The sequence below is a fragment of the Homo sapiens genome, chromosome 7 (assembly GCF_000001405.40).
Source record: "Homo sapiens chromosome 7, GRCh38.p14 Primary Assembly".
Lineage (NCBI taxonomy): Eukaryota > Metazoa > Chordata > Mammalia > Primates > Hominidae > Homo > Homo sapiens.
In genome coordinates, this window is record NC_000007.14 from 42,130,248 (window position 1) to 42,142,453 (window position 12,206).

A 12,206-nucleotide genomic window follows, 5' to 3' on the forward strand; every position below is an offset into this window, starting at 1 on the left:
CCATCCAAGTTTCCATATGCCAAGCAGAACAACATTAGGCCAGCTATCCTTCTCCACGGTTTTGGGGAATGACACCCAAGGATCACTAGGTTTTATGAGGAGAAAAAAGGACAGGAATGAGAATGACCAATATCAACAAGAAAAACTAACCTTGGAAGAAACTTTTAGAAGGTTTTAGAAAGCATTACATACAAAAGGCAAGAGCAAGATGTTAAGAAGAAGTTTCAATAAAAGATTTCTTAAAGTTCTTAGAAATTAAGATTATGACTGCAAAAAGTTAAAAATAATGTGGAGCAATGAAAAATGAAGTCAAGGAAATTTCCCAGAGCACAGAACCAAAAGCAAAGACATACAGGATATCAGAGAAAAGAGAAGAGACACACAGAAGTAACCTAGGAGGTCTAACAGTCAACTATGTAGAATTTTGGGAAGAAAGAAAAGAGAAAACACAGCAGATAAAATTATTAAAGATAGAATAGAAATCATCCATAGAGTTAACGAATGAATCTTCAGATTCAAATGGTCCATGAAGGGATGGGCAGAATTAATGAAAATAAAAATTAAATTAAAACACATCTAGGTACATACTTTCAAACCACTAAGGATAAAAAGATCCCAAAAGTTTCCAGGAAGGAAAAAAATAAGCCATCTACAAAGGAATACAAATCAAAGAGACATCAGACTTCTCATCTACAACTTTGGATGGTAATAGAAAATGTAGTGATGCCTTAAAAGATCTTGTAGGGAAGCCTTTTAAGTTAGAATTCTAACTACACCATCAGGAAAGAGCAAGGGCAGAATAAAGAGAATTTCACAGACACAAAGACTCAGAAATTCTGCCTCCACTGTTGTTGGGAAGTTACTTGATGTATTCCAATAAAATAAAGGAATAAATTAGGAATGGCAAAGTTGAAGTCGTAAGACCTAGGAAACAGTGGTTCCAATCCAGAAGATCACAAAGGGATGTCTAGAGATTCCTCGTTCAGACTTCTCAGGAGAATGAATTGGCCAGGAAAGAAGGGAGCTTTCCCTTAAGTGCAAAAGATATGGTTGGGAGGTTGGGGAGTGGGGGGATGTAAGACTATTGTAAAGACAAATAATAGGGAAAAAACTAAATCAACTACCAAAAAGCAACATGATAGGTAGGAAAGCAATTAAAGAGTAAGTGTAGATAAAGCACTTGTTCGTAATGCTAGACACATCGCCATTGGGTGATTTAAGAATTTAGAAACTGGACTAACACAGAAGGTTAGGTATGATCTTAACATTCTACTGGTTCAACACAGAGAATTTCCACAACCATAATGCTGTAGATGCTTTCTAGATCTTCAACTTTAAAAATCAATCTATGGACAAAAACATAGCAGATGTGGTTATGATAGTAAGACCCCACAAACATATTAACAACCCTGACACTATAATAGAAAAGCTGGCTCCAGAAGATGAGATGTGGATGGCACAGGGGACCTAACATCTTACTCGTTTTGCTATGAAAAGCTGATGAGGAAAAGAAAGAGAAGCTTACAACACTCTTTAAAGTTATAAAAGCACCCAATATACAAGTAATAATATAATATCAATATTGAAAGAAGAGGGCAGAGTATTAAAAATTAAAGATTAACTTTCTCATTTCAAAGTCAATATATTGCATAAGAAATATCTAGAGTTGACATGTCAGGATATAAAAATATAAGCACATTCTGGAGTTGTAATGATTGTTTACCAAAAGAACTAAAACAAAAACAGTGACAAGTGCCCCTGGGACTAGGGTTGGAGAAGGAAGGATGGACCACTGTGGCTTTCCATTCCAGGGTCTTCAGGACTTCATTATTTATTTATTTATTTATTTATTCATTTATTTATTTATTTTTGAGATGGAGGCTCGCTCTGTCGCCCAGGCTGGAGTGCAGTGGTTCAATCTCGGCTCACTGCAAGCTCCGCCTCCTGGGTTCACGCCATTCTCCTGCCTCAGCCTCCCGAGTAGCTGGGACTACAGGCGCCCGCCACTACGCCCGGCTAATTTTTTGTATTTTTAGTAGAGATGGGGTTTCACCATGTTAGCCAGGATGGTCTCGATCTCCTGACCTCCTGATCCGCCCGCCTTGACCTCCCAAAGTGCTGGGATTACAGGCGTGAGCCACCGCGCCCGGCCGGCTTCATGATTTATTAAAATGAGCATGTGTTAACTTGTACATGATAATTGTCATCAAATATGGTAAAAAATGTTAAATTATAAAGAGAGCTTCAAGGTTTCTTTCTTGCTGGATCTTTCCTAGAAAAACAACAAACTAATATTGGAATAATCAAATAGTCATCGCATATAGAAAAAAAAAGTTTGGCTTTTTCAAATCCATTTCAAGGAGAAAACTTTGCTTCTACCTGGCTTGGCATCCCAATTTTGGAATATTACTCTGAGGAAGAATTCTAGTAACATCTCTTTATAACCTCTCAGTGGATTACAGGCTTACAGCCTCACAATTGTCATTCAATTCTGGGATCCTCAGAAAATTAGCCCCAATTGTTCAACCAAATCTGACACCACTGATCAGAAATGAGCCAACATGAGCAGGTTGATTTTGTAAAGCATTTAGCAGAGCATCATCTTAGGAAACATTAAACTGAGACTGGAAAAAAGACCCTAAAAGGTATTTAAACATAAAATGAGCTCAAAAAAAAAAACACAAGTAATCTTCACCTACCACCCTATCAATAATCATTTGCTTCAAATCTTTGCACATCACCATATTCCATTGTTACTAACACCATAATCCTCTGCACCAAAACCCTCTCCTACAATTTCAGAACACCAAAAGGCCTTCAATATTAATTCCTAAAAGAAATACTTTTTTTTAGAAATTAACTTTGAAGAATGGAATTTGTTTAATAAAAGTAAAACTTATACAAAAACATTCTCTCATATCATCAGCTTACTTAAGTGAAAAGAAAACAAACTTATGACTCCTTAGAACAACTCTGTTTCTACTTTGGCTCTTGGCAAAACTAGGTTGGCATTCAAATGAAACAAGGAACTCTGAAATAAATCAGTATTTTACCTTGGTCTCAGATATCATTAGCTAAATGAGGACAAGTAAACGACAGAACACACTCAAGCATTAGTGTTGCCGATGCCTCCAAGTTCATTTACTTCCAAAACCCAGACAATGCAGCCTGTGGAGCTTCTCAACCAGTCAGACTCCAGGCCTCACTCCTAATTGCACCGAGTTCCCTCCAAACACTGGGATCAGGAAATTCACAGAACAGGAGGGCTGACACTACATCATCACCCCACTGAATCCTGACTCTTTTCAGGAGTGGGGCCAATCACAGCTTTCCTATCAAGCTCTGCATAATAGAGTTTCTAATTAGAATCTTAATACTCTGGATAGAAAGCAGCAGAAAAAAAAAAAAAAACTGTGCCTTAGAGTCTTGCTCACCTGGTGGCTCATTATGAGAGAAACACTTCAGAAAATCTGAAGATTAATAGCAGGAGTGTGGCATCAAAGGAACAAGACTGCACCATTACCAAAAGGAAAAAAAAATTAAGAACATCCTAGCTGGGCGTGGTGGCTCCTGCCTATAATCCTAGCACTTTGGGAGGCCCAGGCAGGCAGATCACCTGAGGTCAGGAGTTCGAGACTAGCCTGAGCAATATGGTGAAACACCGTATCTACTATAAATACAAAAATTAGCCGGCGTGGTGTCGCGTGCCCATAATCCCATCTACTTGGGAGGCTGAGGCAAAAGAATTGGTTGAACTTGGGAGGTGGAGGTTGCAGTGAGCCGAGATTGTGCCACTGCACTCCAGCCTGGGCAACAGAGCGAGACTCTGTCTCAAAAAAAAAAAAAAAGAAAAAAAAATCCTATTGGCATACATTTCCAAAAAGGAACTCTAAGGTGGGTCTCAAAAGTCTTTTGTCCTGGCAGTGGGGTAGGTAGTCCCCAGGGATGACATCTCAAGTAGGCTATTTCACACACAGTCCAGCAGTCTGATGTCTGCGCTCCCAGACATAAGAATACATGGTCACCAATGCGAAATATTAACTTCAAATAACTATGCATGAGAAGGACTCGTGTATGAGAAACATCTAGCGTTAACGACCAAAAGCTGAACGATTCATGTCCTAGAATCAGTTCCCTGTTACTATAAACCCATGAGAAGACACAGAAGAAAGGAAAAGGGCACTTTCCGTAGCCGCTATGGTAAACAAAACATGCCAAATGCAACTTTTAACTACCCTAGCTCAGAGGGCAAACCCACAAAAACCCAGAAAATTTATTACTTCTGAGTTTATTAGATTTTGGGGACAGGAACTATGTGCTAAATTAGGCATGCTGTGGGCTCTCAGGTTTGATAAATCAGGTATGAGGCAGAATGAAATCAACACTGACAAAGACTAGCTGCGCACCACCCTCAGAATATGACAGCACGTGCCAACATCACTGAAGGGCCTTGAAAGGTCATTAGACAATAAACTATGTGCTTGGCTGAAATATTAGCAAGGGTCAGGATGAGCTCACGTGAAATTTTCCCTGCAAGAAAACTCTAAAATTCAGGGGAGCATTTCAGATTGCAGTTCACAACTCCTCATAAATTAATGAAAGTCAGGCATTAAACTTAATAAAAGCTGGAACGGATCAAGCAGAAAGAAAACGCAGCATCGGCATATGTGTTATGTGAATTTCTCAGAGTCCATAAATTTGATATTTGGAAGGAAGAAGGGAAATGTTAATTAGGAGAATTTCATAGTGTATTTAAATTTGCCATGGAGTCAAAGCTCTATTGTAAAAACCCCCTTGGAATCTGAAATCACCGTCACCAGATCTAGGTCCTGCCTTTTATCTTGCTATTTTACACTTGTTGATATGCAACTTAATTGTTTCATGTGTTGTTTCTTATTTTCTCTCCCCAAATTATAAAATCTAGAACGCTAAGGTCATGTCTTTTATTCTACTGTGTGTGGAGCTCAATTAATGTTGGGGAACCAGTAAAAAAATCTAAAAATTCATCCCTCTGACTTCTCTAAAAGCCTTGTAGCAATTTTTCATGATCTTTAGACTATTCTAGCTAGCTATATCTCAGAGTATTATAGTCACTCTTAAAAGTCTCAATGTTGCCTTTTCTTATTTTCCTGATGTAGCAGGAGAGCATTGCCACAACATGTATCTTTATCTCACAGACCAGATATATCTCAGGTCAAATCAAGTCCCCTGAAACATTACTTTATACAGATCCAGGCAGATATCTCATATTTGTCTTTAAAGCAAGTATCAGTCCTACTTGCAGGTCCCAGAGACAGGAAGGGATCCCAGTGGTCTTCTTCTTACTGTTTTCACAGATTTTCTACTCAGAGCTCTCTGTGTCAGTCTTGGCCTTCCTTAGCATATATTTCTTTAAGTTATTGGTTGAGAATTTCCATGTCTGTCTTTAGCCTGCACGGGCCCTGCTATCTATACTCAGTCCTTTTGATCTTTTCTCATAAATCATTCCTCCAACCTCTTCATCATGCTTAAGATTCTTTTAGTTTATCTGAGACACCAAAGTCAGGAGACATGAACTGTCCATATTAGCGGGACTGTTGGATACCAAGATGCCTTTGTGGAAAAAAACTGTTTTCTCTCTGTCTCTCTCTCTCACTTTTTTTCTCTTTCTCTCCCCCTGCCACATGTAAGCATTAAGTATATTTATAAACAAAGGGGATACTGTCTTCCCACCACCTCCTCCCCTGGGTGGGGCAGGGTGGTTTGCAGCCCTGTGTAGAACCACATATAGAGACAGTTAAGGATCTTACAGTGGACTCTGTATGGCTGGTAGAGCTGGTCCCCAAAAATGCCTAGGTAGGGCCAGATACTGGCTTGTATTATCTGTTGACATGTGAAAGCTCCAGTTATTATACAAACTGTTCTTGAGAACTGAGATTTCACATAATGAATTAAGATCTTTGATCCAAAGAGACAGCCCATCTTCCAAAAGCCACTGCACCATTAACGAAGCAGATGTGGGGGCAACAGGAGCACCATGAGAAGGACAACGTTTTATAAGACAGCTAGAAAAGGAATGCACGTAGGCCTCCGTTTCTCAGTTACAAAGCCGAGGTCTGGAGTCCAGACTCAAACCAGCACCATGAGCAGGCTGTATAATCTCCATAATTATAATTCAAGTGCTAAATGAGTTTGTGTGAAAACTAAAGAAGATCACATAATGAGGTCCTCAGCCCAGTGCTTGGCACATGGGAAATATCACACATATGGCCTGTGGTGGTGATTACTACTGTGTACCAACTCTTACATCCTCCAAAACATGGGGGTACAGAGAGGACCACAGGCTTCCCCATTTTTAACTTCTAGGTAAGGTAATGTTAAGTTCTTTGCAAAATATCAGTTAACAAAATAAGAAGAAATGTCTCATTCTCCCCTACAACCCAACACCTGGAGCACGGGGAGGGCAGAGGTAGCAAGGACCAGTTCCTGCCTCTCTGACACTGGGATGCATAAGAACAAAGCCTGGACACCGAAGTGGCATTTGGCCTGCCTTCCCTGATTCTACACCCTTGTACTCCAAGCCCCTGCCCAAAACTGGCAATGCCACCACCTGGGTTCCAGGACATAGTTTCCAAGCACTCCCCAGCTGGGCTGATCCCAAACCACTGGCAACCTAGCCACGCTCTTGCACAGATCTGGACTATCATTTTGAAATCTCATCCGTTATGGGACATGGGTGAAGAATCTGAGTTCTGGAGCCAATAAACCGGGTTCAAACCTCAGTTCAGCCACTTCCAAACCACGTAAAAATGGACAACTTACTTAGCTTTACCAGGTCTCAGTTTCCTCATATGTCAAAGGGGAAAATCATGACAACCGCTCATAAGGTTGTTTTGTGGGGATTTAGTGACTTCAAGAGCAAAGCCCATGGCATAACATTGTGGTGCAGACAGAGAGCTTACTTTCTGCTGGCTATCATTTCAGCAAGGATCATTTCCCACCTGGGCCACTGCAACAGCAGCCTGCTAAGTCACCTCCCTGATTCCACATTCCATGCCTTCACAAACGTCACTGCACACCAGCCAGAGTGACAGCCCTAAAATAAAAATCAAATCACAACACTTCTTCCACTGGCTTTTTGTTGGCCCACAAGGTCCCTCAATCTCATCTCCCCCTACTGTCCCAACCCCTGGCCAATGACCACATTGGCATGCTCTCCGCTCCTGGTACTTTTTCACGGCAAACCTTTCAGTAGAATGCTCTCCCTCAGATCTCCCAGGGCAGCTTCTCTTTTTTTATTCAGTTATTCTGGCTGCAAAGACACCTCCTGAGCAAGGCTTTCCCTGCCCCACCCACCTGACCTAAGGCACAACATTCCTACCCAAGTCTCTCTCTAGCACATCACCTGGTTTATTACCCTCAGAGCACCACCAGCTATAGGTTGAGTATCCCTAATCTGAAAATCTGAAATGCTCCAAAATCCAAAACTCTGAGAGCTGAGATGATGCCACAGGTGAAAAATTCCACACCTGACCGACCTCATGTGATGGGTCATAGTCAAAATGCAGCTAAAATTGTTTCATGCATAAAATTGTTTTAAAATACTACATAAAATCGCCTTAAGACTGTGTGGAAAAGGTATATATAAAACATAAATGAATTGTTTGTGTAGACTTGGATTTCATCTCCAAGATATCTCATTCTATATATGCAAATATTCAGAATCTGAAATCTAAAACACTTCTAGTCCTAAGCATTTCAGATAAGGGGTACTCAACCTGTATCTTCTTGTTAAGGCTCTGCCTAGGTGTTTGTTGTATGTCTCTTCTGGCTGGTATGTCAGCTTTGAGAACAAGAACCTGATTTGTTTTGGCAAACGCTGACCCCTCAGGACCTAGAATAGTGTCTGACTCACAGCAGGCTCTCAAAACACTGCACAAAGTTTTTTAATGAAAATAAATATCATGCATCATGTACTTAATGGAGTGAGACTCGAGGCAGGTCACGTCAGCAGTGTTATCAGAAGGACTGAGTCCCCCAGAGGCACTCAGGTGTCTCCAATTGTTCACTATCTCCCACATCATCGATCTGTGGCAATGTGATAAACACATACTGCATTTAAAACATCATTCATCATAAAAGATAGAGGCTACATAAAAATGCATCTCACAGACCTATATATGAGAGGTAAACTGCACATTTGATCAAAAGGTCAACCCACTTGGTCAGGTTCACTGAGCCAAGCTGGGATCACAGACACCAAGTTGGAGTGGATCACAGATTCTCTAGCAGGGAGCGAGGTCACAGGAAAGCTACCATTGTATGTTAGTTTCCCTTCACCCCTGGGGGAGGAGGGAATAAATTTCTTACAAAGAGGAGACACAGGGGTAGGGGAAGGGAAAGGAAATGTGAAATCTTGCCCCATTTGAAAACAGGCTTATTCCACGAAAGCAAACCAGAAGAAGAGCTGGCATTTGCTTCTCAGCATCCCCCACGTGCACTTCTCTGCTCTTGTCTAAATTACCTAGGAAACAGGCACCTCCTTTTACTCCACTCACAAGACAGGAGCACAATCAGGATGCAGATCTGGGTCCCCCCAGTGGACGACGTAAACACCCCGCTTCCTAGAGTGGGCTCCCTTTGATCCTCACAATGTCCACTGATTAGGCCTGCGGCTCCCTAGGGAGCATGGCACAAGTCTCCTCCGGGGTCCCATCCTCTCCCCTGAGACTCTTTCAGTCCTGGCTGGATTGCAGGCTCATCCACTAATGCCAGTCTTTGTTCTCATGCTCCCCTGGTGGTGTTAGCTACTAAATTTCCCAGCTGAATTTCACTTGGTTATTTCTGGGCCCTATCTCCAACCTCAGCCTGGCCCTGCTGCACAATTTCTCTAGCTTGACTGATGTGAGAGCATTTGGGAGTTTTCCAATAAAATAAAACTCAATGCTTTTTTTTTTCATTTTGAACACTGTAAGTGGAAATTAAAATGTGCCTTGATACAGAACACTGTTAATTCTTTAGGAACGAAGCCACAGTTATTTCCTATGTTTTTTATTTGTACTTTGTGATCAAGATATTGTGGTGATTGGGGTTACCTATTACAGAGCAGCTCAGCAGTTGAGAACAAGTAAAAATAAATTGTGTTGTCTTGAAGAAAAAATATGACCTGCTGGCTGGGCATGGTGGCTCACGCCTGTAATCCCAGCACTTTGGGAGGCCGAGACGGGCAGATCACTTGAGGTTAGGAGTTCAAGACTAGCCTGGACAACATGGTGAAACTCCATCTCTACTAAAAATACAAAATTAGCGTGGCATGGTGGCACATGCCTGTAATCCCAGCTACTCAGGAGGCTGAGGCAAGAGAATCACTTGAACCCGGGAAGCAGAGGTTGCGGTGAGCCGAGATCACACCATTGCACTCCAGCCTGGGCAACAAGAGCGAAACTCCATCTCAAAAAAATATATATATGACCTGCTACACAAAGGAATGCAGCAGCACATCCTTAAAGACCAATGAGACAGCAGCCCAGCCAGGGACGCCTGGGAGGGGAGCCCTGTGACCTGCGATGGAGTCGCACGCTGTCAAATTGAAAGCAGGGGTGAATTCAATTCTGCAATGGAGAAATTCTGGGTAAGTGATTGGGAACCCAAAGGTCTGTTTAAATATACAAAGGGCCATGGAACAAGTCTTAGTAATCACCCCAGACTCTTGCAGGAGAGAAACAAACAGCTCCTCACAGAAGCCTGCTGGCCTGGACCTCTTGAGCCCTGTCTTTGCCACTTCCCTCCTGAAATTCACCCTCCAACCACAAAGATTCTTCTCAAGTCCTGCAGATGTCAGTTCTTCCTTTGGCTTCCAGGCCTTGACAAATGCTCCTTTTTGCCTAGATTACTCTTTCCTCACCTCTTTCAGATATCACCTCCTCCGGGAGGCCTTCTGGACTGCCAAGGCTGGGTAAGTCCCTCACCTGCTCCCAAAGGACTCCTCACTCTCTCTCCCCTGACAGCTCCCTTGTATTGACTTTTCGATGGCCTAAAGCTCAACAGAAGCAGGCACTTGCTCATTTTGTTCAACACTGTTTAGCACTTAGGTGACACTCAATAAGCAAATGCTCAATTAATACATGACTGACAGAATGAACACAAAAATAAATAGCTAAAGGAATCAAATGGAATCTTGCTTTATTTTGATCTAAGAAGAAGAAACTCATTGAAAAACTGAGGTTAATGAAAAGCCTGGCCCCCCTCAAAAGAAGTGAAGACATTAGAATGATGAGAACAGTCCATTGTAGGATAGACCCAAATTTAATAGCTTAAAGAATTGAGGAAGTTGGATCCTTTTCAAAGCGTACAACAAGAATCCAAACTATATCAGAAGACAGGGAGAAGAGAGCAATAAAATGCCAGATCGGTTACTCTAAATTAACCCAAACTGTGAACAGCACACAGAGAAAAATCAAGCCCTTTCCCTAAGAACTATGAAGATACAGCACAAATTTACAGGTATGAGATCAAGAAAGCTAAGGCAGGATGGGAGATTGCAGCTTCAAGAGACATCAAAGGTAACATTCTTTAATTATACAAGAAAAAGGAGGAGGGCCGAGGATAATGTTGCCTCTATTAAGAAAGCGGGAGGGAAAGCTGTTAGCAGATGGCTATGAAATGGCAAGAGTTGCTGTTTCTCATGCTTTACTCTAGGAGGGAAGGAAGGAAGGAAACAGGGAGGGAAAGGACGGAGGGAAAGAAATCACAAGCAACTACTAAAAAAGTGCCATTTGGGTGGGTGCCAAATTAGAAAAGATAAATAATTACATGGAATCTTTAAGCAACTGGATTCATGATCCTGAACTGAGTTGCAGATGGGGCCTCCCATCAACATGGATCAGACGCATACTTGGATGCTAAGTTGGGAAGATGTTACCAAAATATGAATTGCCTAGAGGCTGTTGAAGACAAGATACATCACTGAAATTTGGAAAAAGGCAAACAAACATCATGCTCCCCTTAACCACAGGGAAAATACCTACTTGTTCGATGCCAGATGGGTGTCATGGAAGAGAGGCAGCTCTCCTGTGTTAATCTTACAGTACTTAAAATTACGGTCCCCATCCAAGTCTATGAGTGAAATGCCAGCTTATTCCAAAGAATCGAAGTCCCTGCCTTATGCCAGTGAGGTGGCTCAAGCCTGTAATCCTAGCACTTTGGGAGGCTTAGGCGGACGGATCACCTGAGGTCAGGAGTTCAAGACCAGCGTGGCCAACATGGCGAAACCCCGTGTCTACTAAAAATATAAAAATTAGCCAGGCGAGGTGGCACATGTCTGTAATCCCAGCTGCTTGGGAGGTAGAGGCAGGAGAATGGGTTGAACCTGGGAGGCGGAGGTTGCGGTGAGCCAAGATCGCACCACTGCACTCCAGCCTGGGTGACAAAGCAAGACTCCGCCTCAAAAATAAAAAATAAAAAAATGCAGATTTTACAAATGTACAAATGTACCATAAATACTTTGTACATTGCCTGCTCTCAGGAAGGATTAGGTGACTAAGTTTGGATCAGAGGTTGTGTACAATAACTAAATTGTAGAAGGGAAGCAGAAACAGCAATGTCTCTTCAGGTGGTCAAGAAGCCACTCTGATGGGCAGGCTGTGAGCATGGGTCACCTGGAATTCCACCTCCATGGTGACTGTGATAAGCATCTGAGCAGCTCCCAACTTCTCTGCCCTATGGTGGCACGCATGAGTCCCCAGTCCTACCCTAGGAGTTTTGGTGCCCACAGAAAGTAAGTACTGCCTCGGACTAATCACATTATTCCAAAGGAGGTCGGGCCACCAGGTAGGGGCAACACAAGGAAGTAGCTGTGATGTGTTTAAAGGTGAGAATGACATGACTACTCAAGTGTCCACGGTAGGAAAATATCCTTGTAAGATGGCTCTTAGAGACTTTCCAAGGAGGTGGGTTGTTAGATAGGCCTTTAAACATAAGCAGGATTTGAAGGCAAAGAGAAAGCAAGTAACTGGTCCAGGAGAAACAACTATACAAGCAGGGCAACAAGGGCAGGGCCAGCACCAGAGCAGTGGCCAATGGGAGCTGAGTCGTTGTAGAAGAGAACAGTGCCAGGCGGCAGGGGAAGAGAGGACTGGACCAGTGCACTAAGGGGCTAAGTGATTTTCTCTAGAAAAATGCGGTCTCTCTTGGTCTTTTCTTTCTCTTCCTGACCTGGGTGGTCTTCA

The 12,206-nt window shown here is 42.4% G+C and overlaps 1 protein-coding gene across 8 annotated transcripts in view, besides 1 other annotated feature; it reads right to left on the bottom strand.

Moving 5' to 3' along the window:
- Positions 1–12,206, bottom strand: part of GLI3 (GLI family zinc finger 3) — a 303,320-nt gene that overhangs the window by 169,299 nt on the left and 121,815 nt on the right. The window lies entirely within an intron of this gene.
- Positions 8,406–8,916: an enhancer, noted in NCBI's record as "NANOG hESC enhancer chr7:42178252-42178762 (GRCh37/hg19 assembly coordinates)". NCBI's record gives its function as "activates a minimal SCP1, AML or CMV promoter by ChIP-STARR-seq in naive H9 embryonic stem cells {active_cell/tissue: H9 hESC(naive)}" and the evidence as "EXISTENCE:reporter gene assay evidence [ECO:0000049][PMID:30033119]".